This window comes from Homo sapiens, chromosome 3 (genome assembly GCF_000001405.40).
Source record: "Homo sapiens chromosome 3, GRCh38.p14 Primary Assembly".
In the NCBI taxonomy this organism is placed as follows: Eukaryota; Metazoa; Chordata; class Mammalia; order Primates; family Hominidae; genus Homo; species Homo sapiens.
The window spans coordinates 21,862,490-21,889,141 of NC_000003.12; the positions used below are offsets into that span (position 1 = coordinate 21,862,490).

The window sequence follows — 26,652 nt, forward strand, 5'->3', positions numbered from 1 at the left end:
CCATGGATTTGCCAAAACTTAAATAAGGAAGCCATGGCAACTCCCACCATTGCCAACTTGTGGCACATTTGAATGAAGGCTTCTTTTCATATTGCCATTATATTATGTGTATAGCATTCCAGCATAAAGACGTATGCTAAAGAGAGCTAACTGAATTAGAGAGAACCAATGGGCCTGGGAGGCCATCATCCTGCAGCCCAGATGAAGATGTCCAGGCCAGCAGCTAGCTGTGCCTCCCCAAGGGCTCCTTATAGAAGTTCTTTTTCTGTTAGCACGGTCCCTGTTACATCTGCTGCCACAGATCTGAGATTGTTTTGCCAACAGCTCTTTGACCTAAGAAAGACCTAACTTCAAGTCAAACTGAACTGTTAGCTCAGTTACAAGTGGTCTCAGCTGTTTCAGAATTTCTGGAGCTTAATAAAGGCAGACTAATGTCATCCTACATCCCACTCCACTTGATTTAGTCTGAAAAGTCCACTTACCCCTCCTTTTCTGACTTTATCTCACTTTGTGTACAAATATGTGAAAATATATGCAAATACTATGCTTGTAAAGAGGGATAGATATTTGAAAATACACACATAAATATTTATAAAGTCCACTATCCTCAAAATCCTAGAGGCCAGTAGCATAAAATCATGTTGGTAAAACATATTAGAGTTCATATCCAAGCAAAATAATTTACTGATATTGAACTAGAAGTTTCATTAAAAAGAGCTAAAACAATATACTGATAGCTTCATTTCTTTTATTTCTTGATTTCATCATTTGTCTCATTCGTTTAAATTTTATCAAATTAGATATCCAAAATTGTTGACATTCTTTTAAAAATAAGTGTAAGCATTTCATTATAACTTGTAATATATTTTCTCTTTTTCTGAGCCACTGTAGGCAGTCATTATTTGTTGACTGCATGGAAAGATGAATAATTAACAAATGTCAAAATGCTCATATCGAAAGTTTGTCTTCATTCTTTGAGCAACCTTATTGACTATGAGAAATAGAAATAGAATGTAAATTTAATACACACAGAATGGTCATCAAAGGAAAGGTTTTAAACCTATGTTTCCCAGGGCTAGCTAGTAGTTAACCTAATTGCACTTAAGGGTTGGGGAAATTTAATAATGAGAGAGAAGATAAGAAACTATGGAAGGTCTACTGAATAGTGGAAGAAAGTTATTCTGCAGTGATATAATTTCGAAAAGAACAAGAACTTGCAAAGAAAGACAGTTGAATTATGTCAGTACGATTGATACAGAAAAGCTGGAATTTTAAGGCAGGACTCATGTTGCCAGTAAAGAAAGAAAACTAACTCTATTAGTGTATCTGTGCATGCAGAGGGAAGTGGCCAATGCCAACCCAGGCCTCTATAAAATATGAACATAATGAGTTTTTCAAACATTAATGCGCACATGAATCACCAGGAATCTTGTTCAAAATGCAGATTCTGATTCAGCAAATCTGGGGAAGATGCTACATTTCCAACAAGCTTTCAGATGATACTCATGATGCCGGTTCATGGATTATACGTTGTGTAACCAAAAAAGTAGTTTCCTCACAATAAAGGAAGATCCAGGTAAGGAGTGTGCCTCTACCGATGAATATAGTTGTGTATTCAGTTTGTTTTTGTGTGTACATGCATACACAAAGGGTTCATTTTACAGTTGAATTCTCAACCAGTCCTTTTGTTGCCATTTTAAAACCCTGAGTTCACTACCTGAGATATTTTAAAGAAAAGGCATGTGACATTTGATCCTTATCATGAAGTTCATGAAGTCTGATAGCTTAACCAGGTAAGCAACCTTTTCATATCAACCCCATTTACGGTAAAAAGGGAATGCAGCGGATGCAAAGTCTTAGGAAAATTACAAATTCTCTGAGTACCAACTACATACTCTATGAATTGTGACTATTTGCCTTGCCTCTCTTGAATCCTTGTTCCTCTAATTCTAGCAGTGTAACTGGAAAAGTTCCTTAATCACTATGAACCTCAGTTTCTCTTTTAAATTATGGACAGAATGCACACTTTTGAGAATTAAACTGGCTAACATACATCAAACATACCTCACAATCTTTGGCACAGTATGGGTTTTGACTAAATGACAGTGTTTTAAATACTAATAAAATAATCAAATATGATCATTTTCTCAGGGACTAGACAAGTTTCTACTATTGTTATAACTCTAAAGTGAGTCTTTTTGCTATGGGTTTGCCTGAAGATAACTACAAAGCTCTCCATTCCAATATTTATTCTTATCTGTCACCTTGTTTAATTCTATTCATTGTCTCTTCTTACTAAGAGGTTTACTATTCAAGCCTAAAAATGTCCTTATAAAATATCATTCTTTATTATTCCAATAACTCAGAAATGTAGGTCAAGTAAATACAAGTGGTGTGTGAAATGAAGCCTTGAGAGTTTATAGTGCTACTTACCAAATAGTCAAACATCGTTAGTGTGATCATAATGGCCTGGAGCAGCCAACCTACGTTTGGAACAATGCTTTTTTTTTTTTTCTTCCACTTTGCAGCAATTACTCTGTGGGGTACAGGGAAGACTTTTTTTTTTTTTTTTTTTTTTTTTTTTTTTTGAGAGGAGGAGCCTACCACTTGCCGTATCTACTTTCATGTGGTATAATTTGGTTGTTTTTCTTCTGGTCATTATTGTAAGATAAGGCTATAATAGAACTACAAGTAATTAGAGTATTTGCTATGCATTATGGGCTTCCGGATCCCTTAAGAAATATAATGAATCTGCTATACACACTTACAAATAGATGGAATCAATACACAGTGGAATCTCAAAACTCATTTCATGCTAGTTTTGTTTAGAATTTGTGACTTATTGGATACAGGTCTGACTGAAGTTTGCTTTTGCATCATTCGTGAAAGATAAAATCCTTGTTCAGCAATTTAACAAAGTCACTTACCTTCCTTAAAAACCATATTATTATTAAGGCATTTTGAATGGGTCCAGGGGGATAGAGTATGTTTATCACCAACACTGCTATCAGTTTGCTCCAGCAGAACTTGCAGATCTTCCTTAACTATATTGTCAATGTGCATTCTTGAATATTACAAAATAAATTTCAAAGCGTCATACATTGTATCTTTATCAAGAACTTGCTTTGGGAGAGCAGAGAGCTGAACACTGCTGGGTAATCTGTTAAATTAGGTGATCTTATAGTTTGAGGAACTTAGTTTATGGAAGAACTTGAGCTTTCATTTACACAAACAGAATTTTGTTCCCATTAAAATTATTTTGTGAAATACCAACATACCTGAAATTCAAGCACCAGTAATTGATCTAGTTACTATATTCAAATGTACTCTTTACTACTTCAATACAACCAAAAGATTAAATGCAATATAAATATTGTATTTGCAGCTTAAAGCTATCACTTATCCTGTTTGGGTTGACAGATGCTGTGATAATGCGAAGGACACTCATGAAATTTACATTATTGTGTTTGTAGTGACTGAACATTATCTTAGGAAATACTAGATTATATTATCATTTAATATTATGAATATTAATATTACATTCATGTGTATCTATTTATAACATTAGTATGTGTATGTACAAATATACATATATACACTGTTAATTTAACAGGTTGTAAACATATGTAGAAAAATAGTTTTATTTTGATTTTATAAATCTGGTATTAAAAAAAAACACTGGGCTGGGCGCAGTGGCTCACGCCTATAATCCCAGCACTTTGAGAGGCCGAGGCAGGCAGATCATCTGAGGTCAGGAGTTCGAGACCATTCTGGCTAACATGGTGAAACCCCGTCTCTTCTAAAAATACAAAAAATTAGCTGGGCATGGTGGCGTGCACCTGTAATCGCAGCTACTTGGGAGGCTGAGGAAGGAGAATCACTTGAACCCAGGAGGTGGAGGTTGCAGTGAGCCAAGATCGCACGATTGCACTCTCTGTCTTGGGCAACAGGAGTGAAACTCCATCTTAAAAAAGAAATACTCGCCAGGTTTTATGAGGGCACCGCTATTGATCTACGGATATTGTTCTCAAACTGGTTTGCATCATACTCAACTGGAGCAAGGGCTCATTAAAGGTTTCGGGACCTCAGTTTCTGATTCAGTAGGTATGGGGTGGAACCCAAGACATCTGCATTTTCAACAAGTCCCAGGTAATGCTGATGCTGCTGGTCCTACCACCACACTTGAGATCCACTGCTATAGAGTAACTTGTTTTGGCATAAATAGTAGCTAGATGTTATTTTGCCTCTTTTCCCTCCATTTTAGCAAATATTTACAGAATTTAATGCCGTGCTTTTATCAATATATTCTTTAAATCAATAATTAGAATCATCAGGTAGTGATTAAAATACAAAGGCCTGCCTAGGGCCCACATCTTTGGGCTTAAGATAGGTCCAAAAATTTCTTATCAGTGCCTATTAGAATGAAATGAGGAGACTTAAAAAATACCAAGGCCAGGCTGCACCCAATACCCATTATCTTAGTCGATTTGTGCTACATAACAGAACACCTGACACTTGGTCACTTATAAAGAAAACTACCTTGAGGTTGGAGAGAAGTCTGGAGGCTGAAAAGTCCAAGACACTGAGATACGGTGTCTAGTGAGGGCCTTGCTGCATCATTACATGTTAGAAGGGAGGGGGGCAAAATGGAGATAAACACTGTGTCCTCACATCACAGAGAGCAGAAGAGAGTGCACCCACTCCCACAATCCCTTTTATAGTGGCATTAATCCATTATTGAGGTCAAGAAGCCTCATGACCTAATCATCTCCCATTAGGCCTCGTCTCCTGACACTGTTGCATTGGAAATTGATTTTTTAACACATGAATTTGGAGGGATACATTCAGACCTTAGCACCCATTAAATCAAAATCTCCAGAGGTGGGACTCAGGCCTCACCTCTCCAGGTGATTCCATTGTGCAGCCAAGGCTGAGAACTAATCAGTAGATTTGGGAACTGCTACTTTAGGAGTCTGTATTTCAAAGCAGGTTCTCCTGCTCTCTACCTGTGAGGAGTGCAGTAATCATGAAAATCATCTGTCTCTGTCAAGATTGCGTCTTGATTTACTCTATTTGCATCTTGTATTTACTCTATTTATGTTTACATTTCTAGTTTTTAACTGTTTATAAATGTTGCCCTGGGAATACATACATTTTGATGACTACTTTTAAATGATTTGCCATTTTATTAGCTTATATTAATGCCTTTCAATGTCTCAATGCCAAGAGGCAATATGTTTTAGTAGGAAAAGTAAAAAAAAAAAAAACCTCAACCAGTCTTTTTAGTCAGTTTTGAGACCTTAAGCCAGAGCTGTCCAACAAAGCATTCTAAGATGATAGAAATGTTCTCTATCTAGTCACATGTCACTCTTGAACACTTAAAATGTGGCTGGTGCACCTCAGAAACTGAACTTTATATTTTGTTTACTTCTAATTTAAATTTACACAACCACATATGGGTAGTGGCCACTATATTGACCAGTACAGCCTTAAACAAGAAACTGAACCTAGCACAAAACTGGCCTGCAATAGTAACAGTAACTAAAATATATGCATATATGTATGTATGTGAAGATTTAGTATTTGCTAGGTTCTGTGTTAAGAAATGTACAAGCATTTTTTCATTTCACTATCATGAGCAGCAGTTGGCAAACATTTTCTGTAGAGTCAGAGAGTATTTTAAGCTCGTGCACGATGCAGTCTCTGTTGCAATTTTTCAACTCACTTATTGCACTGAAAGCATCCATAGACAATCCATATACAAATGGCTATGGCTGTGTACTAATAAACATATATTTACAAAAGAGGCAACAGGAAAAATTTTGCCTATGGGCCATATTTAAAGACCCCTGCTCATGATAATTCTATGATTTTATGAATGAGAAAATAATAGGGGAATGTGAGTATATAGCTACTCTAAGCAAGGGTCTCACTGCTACTACAAGCACTTGCTTTAACATTCCCCTTTCCACTTCTGGTTAACATTTTATTTGAACCAAAGCAGGCATCTTCTTCACATGAATCATCCTTAATAAGAAATTCCTTCCTTCCATTTTCTTCCTCGTCATCTATTCAGAGACAAATGTTTTTGTACTATTACCATATCTACCAGTTTAATGTGCTGGTCAGCTGAGACACTGTGGGACAATTCTTGGTTCCAACCATTGGACACAGTGGAGAGTTATTACACAGCAATTAAACATGTAAAGCGTATTAGTTCACATATGTAAATTAGATAGAAAGTAAAAACTATTTTCCAGCATCTAAATAAGTTAGAAGATAATATGTTTGTACCTGAACAGAGCACAGTATTTTCAATTACAATAATACTTTCTTTGACTGAATTCTTATTGCATTGTGGACATGTTATCCATCTGTTACATGGACACTCGAGGCAAATTGTGCCTTCCTGAATTAGACCCTATTTTCAGAGGTGAAATTTTATGCTCTCTCATATTCTACAGATTGCCTAAAACACAGAACATTATAATGCTGCAACATCAGCTGGCAGGAATTACGGAAAAAACAACATTCATTTTGTTTCTGTTTCACTGGGAGTTTATTTTTTAAACTTACAGCGTCGGTTTTCCCTTCTACAAAAGTTGTATGCTGCATAACAATGTTTCGAGGGACCAAGAAACAACGTTATACAAACTCATTAGCACGTAGATTAAGCCAATAGAAAGAGATCATTTTATCATTTCATTTAAAAACTATCTTCCATGGCTAATGTGTTGGTATATTTTGACAGGGCAGAGATACAATGTCAAATAGCATAACATTGGGATGGGACCGAAAATCCTCTTCAGAGGCGGACATAGGTATTCCAATAGAGTTATCAAAATAAGTTTTTGTAGCAGTATATGTATTAACTAATGTCCCACACCAAACTTCAAATGTAATATCTTACAACATGTGATCCCCACCGCTCATCAGCACATCTTTCCTAAAGTGGGAATATATATTGCATTTAGAGAGTAACCTTGATACTGTCAGGCTTCAATAAATGCTGCTGAGAGCAGAAGGTCAGTAAAGCCCACTAAGTTGAACAGGCACCATTAAACTATTTCTGAGGGATCAATAATGAAAAATTGACAAGCTAAATACAGGCTTAAAATGTATTACATGTTCTAAGTGATGCAGTTAGAGGAACTCTAAGAGAAAAAATAGCGTAACACAGTTAGCTTTTACTGCAACATAAGATGAAAAATAAAATATTTTATGAACTGTATTAATTAGTTAATGCCACCTATTTGGAGTACAGATTAGAATCTTATACTATAAGACAGAAAATTAAGCCTGGAGCCAATCTAAGATAGCATTTAAATAAGCTTCTTGCAAAAGTGGTATTAGAAGTAGTTCAATAAAGTAGGTGTGGTTCTCTTAAACATAGAATTGCAAATTAACAATAGGGCATTCTTTTAACTTAAAACTGGTAAGATTAAAATTGATTAAAGAAGGTTTTTTAAGTAGATAAAACTCATAAAAAGATATATTTTTATATCCCACTGTGGATTTTTTTTTAAAAAACAACTTTCTCAAATCTGCAAAATCCTCATTCTCATTGTTAAATTTGAACAGTAATTCCAAAAATATACACTAATATATACACTAAAAATGTATAACTGCAGATTTAAGGAAAAAATTGTATATAAATGCTTCAGGAATTATTTTTCCCACACAGAATGTCTATGTTCTTCCTGACCAATATCATAATTGTCAACAAGCATGGCTTGACTGTTTTAACCTGTTTTGATCAGCTATAATTTAAAACATCCAGGCATTCAAGGCAGGGAATACAGAGATTGAGCAGTTGTTCCCCAACATGTCTTTTTATTTAGATGTTAGCCCTAAGGTAAAGGGCAGGCCCTAGCTGTGGTTTCACCATACTAACAGTAAGATGTGATTCCAGACATGGATGCTCTTCTACCCAGTGTGGCTCATTTGAATTATCCGTGAACAAATCAATCCTTGCGGCTACTTATCTTCAACATGTACGTAAACGTGATTCATGTAAGAAGCAGTAGTATTACAATGTATCTGATCTCTGATTTTAAAATACAAGCTGAGATTCATATTTATGATCAATAAATGTCTTACTGTATGGTATCTTAATTTCTATGGCCCAATCAGCCACGCAAACCTTGTATTCAAATGGCCAACTGTTATCAATCTTTGGTATGCATGATAATTTTATAAACACTTTTATAGATAGGTAGATAGGCGTGCGTGTGTGCGTGTATATGTATGTACACCCCATTTCTGCTCTGTGAACTGGCTGTTAGCATGTTCTAGCATACCACTGCTCTGAGTGATTCTGATGTCTGCTCTTTCTTTTGCAATTTTTACATTCAGAATCTGATCAGATCTCATTTATCCATCACTACCATTCTTATCCAAGCCACAGCTCTCAACTCCAGACATGTCTTCCTAGTTGCACTCTTGCTCTCCTTATTTGAAGAGTAGTCAGAAGTAGATTTTTCAGATGTAAAATGAATCATGCCACTTATCTGCTAAAAACTAATAGCTTGTTCTTACAAGCAGAATAACTGCTGCTATCAGGACCTCAAGTTATCTGCCTGAAGACTCTCCCCAACTCTGTGACCTCATCTCTCAGTACAACTCTCTTGCTTGCTTTATTCTGGCAGTATCGGGTCATCTCTAGTCTTTGAGTCACCAGACATGCTGTTGTACCAGGTCCTGTGCACACAGTGCTCCCTCTACCTAGAACATTCTTCCCCACTGTATTTCCCTCACTTTCTCCAGAGATCTGCTCCAATGTCACATTGTCAAAATGATGATCTTTAACCTTGCACTCTCATCACACAGCAATCCATGCAGACACTCCTATCATTTAGACCTTGCTTAATTCTTTACTATAGCACTTGCAACTACCCGAAATATTAATACTATTGAAAATTTAAAATTATGTTTATTGTCTGGTCAGTCCACTAAAGTGTAAACTTCTTGAAGGCAGTAACTTTGTTATATTAATTGCTCCATTTCCATGGTTTTGAAAAGTGACTGGCATATAGTAGGTACTCAATAAATAACTGTTGAACAAATCAATGTATAAAGGAATGATTATCATGATTTAGTAATTTTGTCAATGGTTACACCTTCTATTCTATCTATGCCTCTTTGTGAGAGATTTAATTTGATTAAGATAGCATCCTGAACCAAGTGTTTTCTTTAAGAAAACTGAACTTAGGAACAGTTTTAAAAATTACTCCAGGCCGGGCGCAGTGGCTCACACCTTTAATCCCAGCACTTTCGGAGGCTGAGGCAGGTGGATCACCTGAGGTCAGGAGTTTGAGACCAGCATGGCCAACATGATGAAACCCCGTCTCTACTAAAAATACAAAAATTAGCCGACAGGCGCCTGTAATCCCAGCTACTCAGGAGGCTGAGACAGGAGAATCACTTGAACCCAGGAGGTGGAGGTTGCAGTGAGCCAAGATTGCACCACTGCACTCCAGCCTGGGCAACAAAGAGCGAAACTCTGTCTCAGAAAAAAAAATACCCCATCATTTTATTTAATAATTTTTAAAAAAAGATTTTCTTGTTTAATAAATATACGTATTTTAAAATATGGTTTATATTTTATATCATCCTATTTAAGGTCTTCATTTGTAGAAGTCTTTGTACTTCATATTAGAACAGATCATTTATAAGTTAAAAACACACAAATTACACACAAAAACAGAACAGAAATTTATTGATGCTCGAGTAATATATGTGGCGACAACTGCCTTTAGCAGTACAGACTTAGTAAGGTTTGTTTCCATTTGAGCATGTTTGAAGTTGCATTTTCTCATAGTGCATGCTACATTATGTTGTAAAGACTTTGAGGTCAAGAACCATCTTTTCTATTATTCTTATATTCCTAGCACTATGCATAACTGGAACTCCATATACACACTTTTTGAAAAATGAAAATCTATTGAATTGAAGATACTGAAGGCATTTTGGATAAGCAAATAAAAACATATTGTTGGTCTTATGTAATAACAACACATTCCTGGTGACAGGAGTTTTAAAATTACAGCCCTTAATCTAGAAGTCTTTGAATTAGATAAGTTTTATATCACTCTTGTACACTTCAATGGTTACCATTAGGTCAGTGAAGTCTTACTATTTAGATGCTGAGACCATAATGAAATGGTTGCCATTTACAATGTGGCAAAATGGCCTGAAAGAAATAGAGTTTGCTGAGCTTGCAAACCTAAACTTCTGAAGGGATAAAAGCATCAAAAAACATAACAATCTGTCTTCAGCAAATTTCCCAGCCGCTACAATGCTGTTTTGATAACACACTCCCTCTAAAGATGTAATTGTATACATACAATTTAGAGTATTAAGGGTATACAGTTGATAATGTTACCATTAATAAAAGAGGTGCCACAAAAACAGTTTTAACTAGTATTTATAGTTCAATGGCTTTGGTGTGCATCCAAGACAGGATGACACAACTGTTACCACTATTTCGTGCCAGTCGATTTATGTACAAAGAAAGCACATACCCAGATCAAGTCAAGGTTCGGCATCATATAATAAAATTTAATTCTCTCTTTTAAGGTTTATCTTTATTGGTACAAGTGGATTTTATAAACTTTAAATATTTTTTGAATGATAAAGAATATATGTTACAGGTAGATAGCTAGATGATGGAAAGATAAAGCTATGGATTTGATATATGAACATAGATATATAAGTGTATAAGTGTGTTCATGCAGCATACAATGTACTATTAAGTGGTTAACATACAGAATCATATGTTATAACATTCAACATCACAGTGACCACATGGGCGGTATATTTTTAAAGTTAGTTTACAGATAAATAAATCTCATCAATTTAAATGGATTATCCAAAGGCACACAGGAAGTGGCATAGCCATGATATAGTCTCAGCTCTTTTCCTGTTCTCACATATAATACTCTACATTTTTTCTATGTATCTACTTATTGCCATATTTTCTCTTTCTTATTGTGGTAAAAACACATAACTTGATATCCACCTTCTTTCCTTTTTAGGTGTACAGTATGGTATTCTTAACTATAAGCACTATGTTACACAGCTGATCTGCAGAACTTTTGCATCCTGTGTGACTGAAATTGTATACCTATTGAACAGAAACTTCCCATTTCTGCCTCCGCTTAGGACCTGGAAACTGCCATTTTACTTTCTACTTTGATGAGTTTGACCACTTTAGATAACTTCTGTATGTAGAATCATGCCGTATTTGTCCTTTTGTGACTGGTTTATTTCACTTAGCATAACGTTTTCAAGGTCCATCTATGATGTCACATATTACAATATTTCCTTCTTTTGAATGGCCAAATAATACTTCATTGTATGTGTATACCAGATTTTCTTTAACTATTTTTCTCTCCATGAATGTTTAGGTTGTTTGCACTTCTTGGCTATTGTGAATAATGCTATTATAAAATCAACATGAGTAAGCAAGTATCTCTTCAAGATCCTGATTTCATTTTTTTTTTTGTATAAATACCCAGAATTAGAATTGTTAAATCATATGGTAGTTCTATTTTTAACTATTTTGGTGAAACCTCTATACTATTTTTGACAGAAGATGCACCATTATACATTCTCACCAACAGCACACAAGGGTTCCATTTTTTCCATATTCTTGCTATCACTTCTTCCTTTTTGCTTTTCTTTTTTTAAATAATGGCCATCCTAACAAGTGTAAACAATATTTCATTGTGGTTATGATTTGCATTTTTCTGATGTTTAATGATGTTGAGCATCTTTTAATATACTTACTGGCAATTTGTATGTCTTCTTTGGAAAAATGTTTAATCAAATCCTTTGCCCATTTCTTAACCAGGTTATTTGTTTTGAATTTTTGTTATTGAGTTGTAGGAATTTCTTAAATTTTTTAGATATTAACTCCTTATCAAATATATGGTTTGCAAATATTTTCTCCCACTCTGTATTGCCTCTTCATCTGTTGATTGCTTTACTTGGTATGCAAAAGCTTTTTAGTTAGATGTATTCCCACTTGATCATATGTATGTGGGCTTTCTATTCCTTTCCACTGATCCATGTGTCTGTCTTTAAAATGGCACCATACTCTTTTGATTACTGTAGCTTTGTAATATGTTTCAAAATCAGGAAATGTAGCTTTGTAATATGTTTCAAAATCAGGAAATGTGAGGTCTCTAGCTTTGTTCTTTTTCAAGATATTTTATGGCTATTTGTGGTCCTTTGTGATTCTTTTGAAATTTTATAATTTTGATTTTCTATTTCCGTAAAAAATGTTATTGAGATTTTAATTGAGATTGCACTGGATCTGCTTTGGGAAGTGTGGACATTTTAACAATATTAAGTATTTCAATTCATGAACATGAGATGCATTTCCACTTGTTTGTTTGTTCTTTAATTTCTTTTAGCAAAGCTTTATAGTTTTCAGCATATAAGGCTTTGTGTTCTTAATTAAGTTTATTCATAAGTATTTTATTATTTTGATGCCTTTTTTTATTTTGATGTTATTTAAAATGGGATTATTTTCTTAATTTCCTTTTAGGGTTATTCATTGTTTAGTGTACAGAAACACAACTGATTTTTGTATGTTAATTTTATGCCCTGCAACTTTACTAAATTTACTTATTAGTTCTAACAGTTTTCTTTGGTGTGAAGTACGTATGGTTTTCTACATATTAGACCATGTCATCTAGAAACAGAGATAATTTTACTTTCTCCTTTCCAATATGAATGTCTTTTTATTTCTTTTTTTTAACCTAATTTCTTTGGTCAGAACTTCCAGTGTTTATTTTCATGGTTGCAAAATCTTCCACTGTTTTCCTCATTCCCCTAAATGTAAATTAGATCATAGCCTCCATCAGTTCTTCTTTCATTGTTTTTCTGGCACCCATTTGCTTTGGATCCCACTTTAGTCACCCTTTTATCCTCATATCTTGAATATTAATCTACATTGCTGCTTCAGTTTATACCTTCTGAAGTCACTAAATGTAGCATCTCTAAATACCACTTCAAGCTTCTCTTTACCTGCTAATCCCCCATGTCTTTCAAAAAGTCACTCTACAGTCTTCTTTTCAAAATATATCTGATACTCCAGTGCAAAATGGTCTTAGTGCTGCCATTTGAGTCTCATCTTTCCTTTGCTCAGGTTTTCTCATGTATGCAATACACTCACTTCTCCCTCAACCAGCTCAAACCCAGGCCAGCCTTTGATATCAAACTCCGAGGCCACTCCAAGTAGTGGCAGCCGTGTCATTGCCACCACTGTTGTCATCTTCATTGTGATCATCATCATTCCAGCTCTATTTGTACAGCTCTTATGGAAGCACTACTCAAAGAGTAGATCTGGCAGACCCAGGCTGGTCAGCAAACAATTTCCTACATCCATAGAATAAGATAAGAATTGAAATTGCAACTAGGCATTTAGAAACCTTAATATCAATTTAGGATTGCTGTGACATTCACATGTGGAGATTTAAAAACATCAGTTCTCAATGGATTAGAAATTTAAAATCCAGAAAGAAAAACGAGTTACTTCATCATAGTTGGTTTGAGAAGTACTGCTTTACAGTCTCCCAAAGTATTTTCACACATAATATAATATTCAGTTTAAGCTGTGATATCAGGAATGATATTGTTTGCATCTTGTAAGTGTAAAGCAAGCAAGCAAACAAACAAACAAACAAAAAACCTGAGGGATAGAAAATGTTTGGAATTTTTCAAAACACATATCTTGTAAGTGGTAGAACTTTTTATTCCAAATCTGGTGTGTTTTTTTTTTCTGTCCTATTGCTTATCTATTAGGGGTGCCTCAGAGTAACTGTCTTCATTCAGCCTGGTCAAAACGGTATGGATATAATCATTTTGGGATGATTTAGGGATCACTAGAGAGCCACTGACTGCCTGTGAGTTTTATCTGTTAACACAACTTAATCTAGTATTTGTCTTCAAGAAAATGAAAAATTATATATAATATATATATTCTTTTGACTAAGAATGACACTAAAGGCTGACTTACTTTCTCATGTTTTCATTTAACCCTTCAATCAACTGACATTTATTACGTTTATTGAGCACCTACTATGTCTCATGCCTTGTGCTCAGTGCTGGGTAAATATGAAGAACAGAACAGCTTTTCCATAATGATTTCATGGATAGAAAATAGTACAGGGGTTAGAACAAGTTTTCTTATATTTTTGATTTTTTTTTTTACCAATTAAAGTTATCCAAAACTCAATTTTCCTGTTTTGTAGTACAAAATCTTTGAAAGAATTCCATCTAATGTGAAAATAACATTCTGTACAGCTTCACCCTGCTGCAAGCTACTAAGCATTAGCTTCTGTCTAAATGTTCTTTCTTTCTCTAATTGCTTTCTTTAGGATCACTAATCTTCCAAAGAATCATTGTTTACATTATGTGTTTGCCCATTAAGCAGAGAAGCACTTCTTTCCACACTTTTCCCATTCCAAGGAAGGATTAAGAGCAACTGTTAACACAATTAAAGCTCAGTTTAATTTCTATGATCCATTTGCTTTTGCAGTAAAACACCATTACTGTGAACCCCTAGAGGGTTGTAACTACCATGGGATCAGGTTTATTCGCCTGCCCTAAGTGACCTGTACAGGAAAAAGGCAAAACTTACCATGTGGAACACCAAAACACTGAGACTCGATAAACAAGGTCATTTCAGATACTCTTTCTGTTTGCATAGGAATGGGCATTTTCATAACTACCCTGCTTTGGCTCTGTATGAAACTGAGCACCAACCCAGCAAACACTGTACCCAAACATCGATTACAGCCTGAAGTAGGGCCTCAAAAGCACAGTGGCCTGGAATTTTGATCCACTAAGGAAATCAATTCAAGAGCAGATGCCCTCAATATATGACCCATTCTCTGAGACTGTGATTCTAGGGAGCACGCACATTCCCAGAAACGTGTTAGATTAGAAGGATGACAGCAGTGTCACACACACTTTGGTAGTTATTTAAAGTTAATTAATTTAACCTGACCTTTCCATATAAATATAAGGCACAATAGACGACTGGTGGTAATTGATTCTGGAGAGCCTCGGAAATGGTTCAAGGAAAACACAGCTGTGCTGTATAGCAGTTCTTGTTTGCTCTGGATTATAAACTATTTTTAGTACTTAGTTAATAAAGCTAATTTTCTTAAGGGGCCTGCAGTGAAATGTGTGAGCTGCTATGTCAGATGCTGATAGAATTGGGATTTGTAATGGACGAACCTAAGAAAATTAACTCCACCAATGCGGACTCACTTTTAGAGCTGAGGCATCAGCGTACCTGCTTGTAGAGATATCTAATCAAAGTAATCAGAATCTATTTTATGGTTTTCCACAATAAATTTATTTGGGAAGTTACAGATGAACTTCTTCAATACATCTGTTATCTCTATTTTATGTGTTGATATACTATTAATTTTAATTACAACAGCAATGAAGATTTCATGATAAAATGATAAACAACTTATATTAAGTGCTATTTGTAAGTACCTTAAATATATTCTTCCATTTTAAGATGCTGATCTTTTCCCATTTTGACATCTTTGAAATTGATGGTGTATCATAACATTGCATCTTCGAACTGATGACATCTTAGGTTCAGTAAAATATAGTAACTGATGCAATCCTCTAGGCAACTTCCTGAGGAGATATTATTACTACGTCTTACACATGAGGAAACTAAGGTATAGAGAGATCTTAAGTAACTTATCCAGGTGATGTAGCTCATAAAAACGAGAGTTTGGATTTGAAAGCAAGCAGTCTGACTGTGGATTCAAATTCTTAATTACTATGAGATATTGTCTCATGAACTCATTTAAATACAACTCAAGTGCCATGTGAGCAAGCCTGTTTCATAAGGAACTCCCTACTATCAGTTTCATGAGTGCTACAGCAGTATGAAGGCATTAATATGCGTAAAAAGAAAAATTAGTATTGTTTTGTGTATGTTTACAGAAAAGTGTATCATACGTTGAAAATCTATTTTGTGTTTTCACTCACTAATATCTGCATGAAGTCCTTATTTTTCAACTTTTATTTTAACAGCTGCATAGTATTCCACTACATGACTGCACATGTAAGCAATTTTCATGCTTCCATGTTTCCATTGTTATAAACAGCACTGTAATGAAACATATTTAAATGCTCTCATTGAAACAAGTGATTCTTTCTCTAGGTAGGTTCCATGAAGTGGAATTTCTGAGTCATGGATGTGCTTCTATTTTCTATTGAGAAGATTTAAATATTTTAGCTGTAACACGACATGCCTGTCATATAGCATTTTGTTACTAAGATTAGCAAGTTATTTTCAACTATATATCACAGCAGTTATTTATCAAGCACATTTGAAGTTCTTTTTTGCATTTATGTGGGAAAGACCTTATAAAACAATTTTTATTTAGGTTCATACAAACCCTAAAGCTATTTTATAAAAAGAGCCATGTACATTTGGAGAGCAGGAGGGTAGGACAGAACTTGCTGCCAACAGTAGTTCTCTTGTGATACACTACCAGAAAAAATATGTGCCTTTGTTATTTTTCATCATTTGAATACTTCTCAAGTTTGTAAAACACATCAAGATAGAAACACTTTGCTTGTCTTGAATGACATTAACAAGGAAACAAATGATATGAAAATTTACCTCTTGTTGAATTTTTAAAAATCATGAATGGAAAAAAAATCCTGTGTTTGTCATGTTCTTTAAGTACAATGAGTTTAGTCCTCTTGACTCCAAAGTGTTTGTTTTCATAAATGATTTCTGCCAAACTAGTGTTGTCTAAGTGACAGACTGTCTTCTCTAGAGAGGACACATGGGATCCGTTTATTGCCATCTCTGGGATTAGAGTGCTGGCTCTCAGCTACTTTTGCAGATGCTTCTTGTCTTTGTTCTTAATATAGTTGTTTAGCATTAAGAACAGTTATGTCATCAAAACACCTAATACGAATAGCAAGACTGTACTCTTGAAGTGGTGTAGGCTTTTGTGTATTAGCTGATCTGCTGTAAACTTCCTTCTTCAAAGGCAGGAAGCTATTAAGATGAATTTATTACTATAGGTATGAAGTCCTCACACATCCTAAATACAACGCTTTTCTCACCGCTGTTGTAATATGCCACAGCACTTCAATTAAAAAATAGTCACAGAGGTCAGGAATCACTAAACATAAAATAAGCAGCTGTCTCTGAGCCGCTAGGCGCTTCATTGAAAAGGGCACCAGAGAGTCCTCATTTGGAGAGTTACATAAAAACTTCAGCTTTGGAGGATGCATGACTATATAACACTACAGTTGGTTTTATAAGGTCATCCCTTTAATATTACAATGAATAGGAGAAAAGCGTGGACAGTCATACTTTTTTAATGGTTTCATCTTTCAAGGAAAAGAATGTGCAAGTGGGGGAACAAACTCTTCTTTCATGTAATCTCAAAATGTTAAATCAGTCCACCAAATTAGAGTCTGGCCACAATTTGTCTCTCCCTGGCATCATTAAAGCTAATAAATGCAATTATTTTTTAAATATGTAAAAATACTATGGGTATGCAAATAGCATGCAAATTAAGCCAAATGAAGTATTTCAAATGACATTATGGTTTCCTACCTTGGCCTTTTTTAAAGGTTCCAGAAGCATAAAATGACTATAAAAGAATGATTTTGTTACAAAAAAAGTGATCTAGATCAGTAGGATCAGCCTCACTTATGAGCACTGCGTTAGAAACAGTTATACCTCATTTTATTGCACTTTGCTTTACTGTGTTTCACAGATACTGTGTTTGAAGGTTTGTGGCAATGCTGTGTCAAGCTTCTATTGGCACCATTTTTCCAACAGCATGTGCTCACTTCGTGTTTCTGTCACATTTTGGTAATTCTTGCAATATTCAAATTCTTTCACTGTATCTGTCATGTTGATCTGTGATCAATGATCCTTAATGTTACTATTGTAATGGTTTTGGGGCACCATAAACTGTGCCTATAAGAGATGGCAAACTTCATTGATAAATGTTGTGTCTGACCTTTCTATCCACCGGTCGACCCATGTCTCTCTCCCTGTCCTTCGGCCTCCCTATCCCCTGAGACAAAATAATGTTGAAATTAATTTAATTACTAACCCTACAATGGCCTCTAAGTGTTCAAATGAAAAGAAGATTTGCACATTTCTCACGTTAAGTCAAAAGCTAGAAATGATTAAGCTTAATGAAGAAGGCATGTCAAAAGCTGATACAGACTGAAAGTAGGTCTCTCCTGCCAAACAGTTAGCAATGTTGTGAACGCAAAGGAAAACTTCTTGAAAAAAATGGAAAATGCTACTTCAGCAAACACATGAATTATAAGAAAGCCAAACAGCCTTATTGCTGATACGAAGAAAGTTTTGGTGGTCTGGATAGAAGATTAAACAAGCCACACCATTTCCTTAAAGCCAAAGCCTAATCCAGAGCAAAGCCCTAACTCTGTTCAATTCTGTGAAGGCTGAGAGAGGTGAGGAAGCTGTGGAAGAAAAGTCTGAAGCTAACAGGGGTTGGTTAATGAAGTTTAAGGAAAGAAGCCATGTTCATAACATAAAAATACAAGGTGAAGCTGCAAGTAGTGATGTAGAAGCTTCAGCAAGTGATCCAGAAGACTTAGCTAAGGTCATTGATGAAGGAAGCTACAGTACACAACAGATTCTCAGTGTAGACAAACAGCCTTACATTGAAAGAGGATGTCATTTAGGACTTTCATAGCTCTAAGGAAGTTAGTGCCTGGCATCAAATTTTCAAAGGACAGGCTGACTCTGTTGGGAGAGGCTAATCCCATTGGCGACTTTAAGTTGAAGCCAGTGCTCATTGACCATTCCAAACATCCTATGCCCTTAAGAATGATGCTAAATCTACTCCACCTGTGCTCTATAAATGAAACAACAAAGCCTGGATGACAGCACATCTGTTTACATATTGATTTACTGATTATTTTAAGTCCACTGTTGAAAACTACTACTCATAGAAAAAGATTCCTTTTAAAATATTACTGTCCATTGACAACATACTGGCCACCCAAGAGCTTTAATGGAGATGTACAAGGAGATTAATGTTGTTTTAATGCCTGCTAACATAAGATGCATTCTGCAACCCATGAATCAAGGAGTAATTTTGACTTTATAGTATTATATTTAAGAAAAACATTTCACAAGGCTATAGTTGCCATTCTAGTGACTCCTCTGATGGATCTGGGCAATGTAAACTGAAAACCTTCTGGAAAGGACTCATCATTCTAGATGCCATTAAGCATATTCACAAATCATGGGAGCAGGTAAAAATATCAACATGAACAAGAATTTGGAAAAAGTTGATTCCAACCCTCATGGATGACTGAGCACTTCAAGATTTCAGCAGAGGAAGTAACTGCATATGTGATGGAAATAGTAAGAGAACTAGAATTAGAAGTGGAGCCTAAAGATGTTACTGAGTTGTTGCAATCTCAAAATAAAACTTGAATGGATCTGGAATTGTTCTGGGTGAGCAAAGAAAGTGGTTTCTTGAGATGGAATCAACTCCTAGTGAAGATGCTTTGAACATTGTTTGAAATGTCACCAAAGGATTTAGAATATTACATTAACTTAGTTAATAAATCAGTGGCAGAGTTTCAGAGGACTGACTGCAATTTTGAAAGAAATTCTACTGTGAGTAAAATGCTATCAAACAGCATTGCATGCTACAGAGAAATCTTTTGTGAAAAGAAAATGCAGTAAACATCTTTGTCTTTATTTTCAAAAGTTGCCACAGCCATCTCAAACTTCAGCAACCACCATCCTGTTCAGCCAGCAGGCATCAACATCAAGGCAAGACCTTCCACCAACGAAAAGATTATGACTACGTGGTGCTTCAGATGATTGTAAGCATTTTTTAGTAATAAAATATGTTTAAATTGAGATATAAAACATTGTTGTTTTATACATGATGCTATTGCAAACTTAATAGACTATAGTACAGTATAAACATAACTTTTATATGCACTAGAAAACAAAAAATGTGTGTGACTCTCTTTATTGTGATATTTGTTTTATTGTGGTTGTTTGGAACTTGAACTTGCACTAACTCTGAGTCGTGCCTGTACAGAAGCTTGGGAAACATCCCAGAACTTGTAAATCAAAATTTGCATTTTAACAAGATCCCCTGATTCTCAGACATTATAGTTTGAGAAGCAATGCTCCCGATTCTCAAACATGATAGTCTGAGAAACAGCTAGTAATAATTTAGCTTTCAATTTTCATTAGACCATGTACATGAGCAGTTGCAACACAGTTTTGATTAGCTAATTATGTAGAGTTTTTTTATGAAGAGCATAGCTACTTGAGCACTTTCCCAGTTTCTCCACTTTTCCTCAGAAATTGTACTTACATTCTTTAGATGAAGGTAAAAAGCAATTAAGATGATTATGCTAATAGTAATTGCATTTAGAATATTTACTCTGGAGAATAGTATATAATTTGACTCCTCACTATTGAACAAACCCTCATTAAAATATCATTCTGAGAAAATATTGATGCTTATTTGGAGGTGACAGATTTATGCTTTGTCTCCTACCACTTTAAGAAGTGTACTAAGAAAACAACACATATCATCTTATGGGTTAGTTTGTATGCAGATAAGACTATTATCTATTTTGTTCAAAGTTATGACAATGTCTTGGTAGCTTGTCTTCTCATCAAGAGCTCAATTTTTTTATTATGTGATTATTTGATCTGTAAGAATTTGTGCCTAGGAAAAATTCAAATTGACTTATAAACTTAAAGATTTATATTAATATTTTTTAAAATAATTTATCTCAACATAAACCAACAAATTTCTTTCCCCTCAAAAAATAAAAATAAAACTAAATGATTTTTCTAACCAGACAAATGTCTCACCAAATTGACTAAATCAGTTACATATTCTGGGCCTTCATTTTTCACATCTATAAAATAAGATTTTGCCTGATCATGAGGGTTTATGATATATATTCTGATATAAACATTTGTTATCATGTGAATCTACCATTCATCCTTGGTCATGCTATTTCATGAAGTGAATAAACACATACAATTTGACAGCGTTTCCCAAGATTCCTGAAGCTTGGAATGACATAGGTTTAAAGAAATTTGCTGGAAATGATGAGAAATGCGTTTTGTTGATGCACGATGCTGCCTGCACAGCAAATAAGGCATATTCACTACAGAAAGGAAAGTCATTTCATTTTTGTTACATTCCATCAGATTGCTGCACATATAAGGCTAGAATTTATGTATGTGGAAAATGGGATTATTTAGGCAATGCACATTATTATCATGGAAGTTCTTTCAGCAGCTAATGTAGACTGAACTACATATCAGAACAATCGGTCTGAGACTGAGACATGCTACGACATCTCATCCGTTTCACTCTCTTCAGCAGGAAACCATATCTACTAAGTCGAATTTCTTGTCTTTCAAAGGGAATCGGTTTGTGCACCATTTTGTGATATCCTTAGTGTATGTTATGAGAGGGTTGCTAAGGCTTTTAGAGCTGACATGTAGCATAACACACACAATATAAATGCGGATGGTTTGCAAAGAAAAGGGAGACATAGGATAAGACATATCTGATTGCTTGTTACCATTTTGCAAGAAATAATTAGGATCACTAAGTTTGGAACCTGAAATCTATTTTTCCATAGAAATGATATTATAAATGATAATTATATTCTCCAGTCAATTGAGAAATTCCTTTTCAACCCAGAATGTTGTTAAACTGAAATTATCAGGCACTTAGCACAGAGTGTGCCTTGCAAACAGTAGACAACTCTGAAAGTAGCCTTGCCTAAGTAAATCACCATCCCTTCGCTGGAATTGTTATCTGAGTGCTTCTCCTAATGTCTATCTGACATCTAACTTTCTATCCAATATTTATCCCCTAGAATAGTTGTGTGGCCTCAACTCTGCTATTAAGTTGGTTCTTGACCTTGGCTAGTGGTATGTTAGAGCCAGCTTGTAAGGGCTCAAAAGAGCTAATTTTTAAATGTTCAGAAATTGTATAAGCCAAGTTTTCAACACAGCCAACATTAAAAAATTAATTACATATCCTTGCAATTATACTAAAAACACAGGCAATAAATGGCCAGAACTCAACGGTTCTTATTTTACTACATTTTACTATCATCTGTTCTCTAAAGTTTATTTGTGTGTATTTCATCTGTACAGTGGAAATACTATATAATTGTGTGCTAACGCATAGCTTTTTCCAGCTCCAGATCCAGTGACATTATACAGGGAGATTGAAATTGACCATATGGCAATATTTACACGGTGGAAATTGGCAAACATTTTAAATAAAGGTTGATTTATTTGCTTGTTGATTTATACACGAGGATCATGAAAGTATGACCCTCAATCCAAAATTTATCTGCACTTTTTTTTGTAAATAAAGTTTTTCAGGGAGAATACAGCCATGCTCACTTATTTTCATTTTATCTGTGGCTACTTTTGAGCAACAATGGCAGAATGCAGTAGATATAACTTGCAGACTATATGGTCCATGAATCCTAAATTAGTTACTATCTGGCTGTTTAAAGAAAAACTTACCAACTTCTTCTCTAGATTAAAGAAAGTGGTGGAAAAAATGTTAATAATTTACATAAAAGCATATCATATATGCAGCTGTTACATTGAGAATAGCAGAAAAAACAAATGAAAATTTCTTTCAATATTCTAAAATTATTATCCAATTCAGTGAAGTTAAATGAAGTTCCAAAATTCATTTTTTTCTTTCATTCTTCCTTTACTTGCTAACATAAACTAAAATATCAACTAACATTTGTATTGAACTATACTTATTCACAATAAATTCTTTGCTGAGTCGAATAATAATCAAATACTTACTTATACCCTAATATTGTGACACAATTGTTAGCAACAAAATTTGATGAAAAAAATAGTGAATTTCACAAGTTTACGTAGATTTTATGACAATATTTTTACTGGGAAAAGAGCAAATGGAGATATAACTCCATTTGTCAAATCATGCTTAAATTGCAATCAGAGATCAGCTATGCATACATAAACCAAGAAAGAATTATGTGAGAATCAATTGGTTATAAGACATTTGCAATGAAAAGTTTTATATATTTTATTGTTACTTTAAGTTGTTACACAAATTTTATATCAGTGAAAATTATAATAAACATATATATATATTATATTAGGGTTTTCCATGGAAATAGAACAGGGTGTGTCTGTGTCTGTGTGTGTGTGTGTGTGTGTGTGTGTGTGTGTGTGTAGAAAGAAAGAGAGACCGATTTATTTAAAGAAATTGGCTCACACAACTGTGAAGGCTCTGTGAGTCTGAAATCTGCAGGAGTTACAGTTATAGTCCAAAATAATTCCTCCTAGCTCAGTGGAGGTCAGTCTTTGTCTATTAAGGTCTTCAGTTAATTGGATAAGGTCCACCCATATGTGAAGAATGATCTGCTTTACTCAAAGTCCACTGATTTAAGTGTTAATCTTATCCAAGAAAAAACACCTTCTCAGAAACATCCAGAATAATGTTTGACCAAATATCTGGGCATGATGGCCCAGTCAAGTTGGCACATAAAATTAACCATCACATAGATACATGGATAATTTTTCTTACAGTATCAGTAAAAATTGGCAGCACACACTGATCCTGGCCTTATCTCAATTCTACCTGTCTTCTAGTGGTCTGCCTATTTCATCCAGACTGTTTATCTTCCCACCATAAAGTTAAGCCTGGATGATGGAAGAAGGTTTTCCTTCCTCTAAGTCATAGTATAGATGTGTCTTGTACTTAATTCGCTGCACAGTGATTGTAGATTTAGTAACCGAATCTGGCTGTGATTAATGAGGAAGAAAAAAAAAACTTTCTACCCCTTTTCTTGGTTCAGAACTGTGCAACATTTGAACTGAGCCCTTTCTGCATTTGACATCCTTTCACCTCCCGTCCTCTCTGAGCACCACCCTTCAATGATGCTGCTCATTGTGACTAACTCTGTTCCTTATCCTTTCTGAAGAAATAAAACTCAAGCAGATATTGGATGGACGGCTCAGAAAAACCACAATTTTTATGAGTCTTGTTCAGGCCTAGTCTCATGGAATCTTAAAATGCTACATTGTCTGTACTGAACTGGAGTGCATCTGTAGAAAGAAATGGAGGTATAGACAGCTGATATATATTTATGTGATAGCATCTAGTCAACATTTGCCAAAGAGAATTATAAGCTGATGGGATTTGAGTTCAAATACATGATTAGCATTGACCTCTCATAAGAAAATCTAATAAAGAGTTGTATATTTTTAAATAGTTCTCCCTACCTAATGACATTAACTTAATTTTTCCCTGTGGTGTGATTGGATCAGCAGTGCCCCCGTGGGTCCCCTCCCATTACATACTTTCATTCATATGGGTCGGCCAAATGACTAGAACGTCTGCCACTCCATTCAACGCCACACGTTTTCAAAGGATTTAACATGTTCCTTTCCTTTTTTGCCCCTCCAAGGATGTCCCCTTGGGAGCAGCATTTATTGATCCTTTCTTATGGATGTGTCAAGTTGCCCCATTATGCTTCCCACTAGGAGATAAAAGGTCCCTTCTTGAAGGAGAATCACCTACAAATTTTACCTTTGAGAAATTTGTATGAGGACAGGACTTTAATGGATTTCCGTAGTTTGTGAAGTGACTATTTCATGAAGGGAAATGTCATCAAAGATATTTGGGCTTGTGGATTTAGTCTTAAATAGTTTGTTTCTAAGTATGCCCCTTAATTATCTACTACCAATAATTAATTCTGACATTTTAGAAATTATACAAGGAAACTTAACTATGCACATTAATAAAATAGTTTGTAAAAATAAATTTATGAAATGAAGGGAGAGCATTTGTAGATGGAGAATTTAAAAGAGCAAAAAACAGCAACAACTAAAATCTGAATGTTTTCTAAGTCTAGCAGATGGTAAATTCTATAGAAACAAAAATAACACTTTGTTTTAGTTTTTAAACATTTTAAAAATTATTATATGTCAACTTCTGAGTATTAGGGAGGCAAATGGTAACAACATATATGGAATTTGCTCTCATGGAAATTGTTTAGGAGAAAAATCGTGTGATAGAACAAAAACAAAATAGGTAATAAGAGTAACAAAGATGCTACATAATATTCCTTAGGCCACATCTAACAGAAAAATTATAAATTTAAAATCAGACAACAAAGTGTCTAAGACTTACCCTAGGCTCTAGGGAGTCTTAAATAATACACAGAAAAAATACTCTTGAGATACCATCTTTTCCTATATCACTAAGAATATGTCAGGAATTGAAAAGAAAAAAATGCATGGTTAATTAATTGATAGAATGAGTTAAAATACTGTTGTTTCTGAATTGTAACAGAAGGTTTTTAAATGGGTTACACATGTCCATTGAAATAATATTAATACTTTGTAAAATAACCTAACTACTTACTAAAAATACATCACAATGAATAAAATTACTGTTAAAATAAAGTGATTAAATGATTAAGAATCTGTTTACTTTCTTTTCCCCCTTTTATTCAAACTCAATAATTGCTCCCCCCCTTTTTTGGAAAAAACATCTCATAATTTTTTTAAATTCTAGTTAATTATTCCTCAATTGCTTGGTTGCAAAATTTTGTATCAAGTATAACAGTTCAAAATTGTATTGCTTCAAAAATGTTCATTAGGTGGTTAAATAACTATGTGGAACTTATAAAAGTAAGCTAGTATGGACTTTCAGATTTGCAAATGATTAGAAAAAATCTTTTATATTGTGGTATATTGCAAAGAGAGAAAGTAAAAAAGTAATAAAATAAAACAAAATAGGGGCCAAGGAAGAGACTTGAAGACCACTAGCACTGAATTGAAGTTGGAGGAAGAAGAACCATTGGGAAGCAGATGGAAAAGAGAAAGAGAATAGTAAAAAGGGGTCAGGGATTTCTCGTGGTTCCTAGAGTTTCATAAGTACCAGAGAGTAGAACAGAGAATCAAACACCAGAAGGAACAACCGAGAGTTTATTAGTAACTTCTGGAATAGTTTTCAGTGTTGCTGCGGAAACAGAAGATTAAGAATTGAAATAAAATGGAAACAGCAGGTCTAGTTACTTTTTCAGGAAGCTTGGCTAAAAAGGAAACAGAAAAAAGGGAGAAGGGCAAGTAGAGGGTAGAGGAGGAATATAAATGAGTAACAGGATGTTAAAACTGGACCCATTTTTCTCATTTATCCAAAATCTCAAATTGATAACAAGAAAGATAGGTGGCGAGTTTTCCCAAAATGAGGTGCCTGTTCATCTAAGTTGAGGTTGCCAAGGTGACGGCAGAGGGCCAAGTCTGTGGCTCCTGTCTGACCACCTGCTACAGCCAGTGACTTGCTCAAAAAGCAGGACTTAGAAGATGGTATCAGAAAAATTACTTTACTCCTCTCCTTACACCAATAAAAGAGGCTGCAGGTCTAGAGATACTCAGGAAACTATAGATGACTTCTTCAGAGAGTAGACTGTGTGTGGGGAGTGCCCTTGACATTTATGAGATGTACAGTAAGGACATTTGTCAGAGACCTTAATAAGAACAGTTTAGGGGATGCAGAGGGCAAACAACTGACACTGAAATAGACAACA

General features: G+C 34.8%; 1 protein-coding gene across 10 annotated transcripts in view, besides 5 other annotated features; it reads right to left on the reverse strand.

The window, feature by feature from the left end:
- ZNF385D (zinc finger protein 385D) overlaps window positions 1-26,652 on the reverse strand; it is a 960,546-nt gene that overhangs the window by 450,272 nt on the left and 483,622 nt on the right. The gene's annotated exons all lie outside the window — the stretch shown is intronic.
- Window positions 499-668: an enhancer, noted in NCBI's record as "experimental_68021 CRE fragment used in MPRA reporter constructs". NCBI's record gives its function as "activates a minimal promoter by MPRAs in K562 erythroleukemia cells, with activity observed for both the introgressed and non-introgressed 3:21904565 variant alleles {active_cell/tissue: K562}" and the evidence as "EXISTENCE:reporter gene assay evidence [ECO:0000049][PMID:34662402]".
- Window positions 3,771-3,940: an enhancer, noted in NCBI's record as "experimental_68035 CRE fragment used in MPRA reporter constructs". NCBI's record gives its function as "activates a minimal promoter by MPRAs in K562 erythroleukemia cells, with activity observed for both the introgressed and non-introgressed 3:21907837 variant alleles {active_cell/tissue: K562}" and the evidence as "EXISTENCE:reporter gene assay evidence [ECO:0000049][PMID:34662402]".
- Window positions 4,296-4,465: an enhancer, noted in NCBI's record as "experimental_68037 CRE fragment used in MPRA reporter constructs". NCBI's record gives its function as "activates a minimal promoter by MPRAs in K562 erythroleukemia cells, with activity observed for the introgressed 3:21908362 variant allele {active_cell/tissue: K562}" and the evidence as "EXISTENCE:reporter gene assay evidence [ECO:0000049][PMID:34662402]".
- Window positions 10,080-10,249: an enhancer, noted in NCBI's record as "experimental_68058 CRE fragment used in MPRA reporter constructs". NCBI's record gives its function as "activates a minimal promoter by MPRAs in K562 erythroleukemia cells, with activity observed for the introgressed 3:21914146 variant allele {active_cell/tissue: K562}" and the evidence as "EXISTENCE:reporter gene assay evidence [ECO:0000049][PMID:34662402]".
- Window positions 25,449-25,618: an enhancer, noted in NCBI's record as "experimental_68089 CRE fragment used in MPRA reporter constructs". NCBI's record gives its function as "activates a minimal promoter by MPRAs in K562 erythroleukemia cells, with activity observed for the non-introgressed 3:21929515 variant allele {active_cell/tissue: K562}" and the evidence as "EXISTENCE:reporter gene assay evidence [ECO:0000049][PMID:34662402]".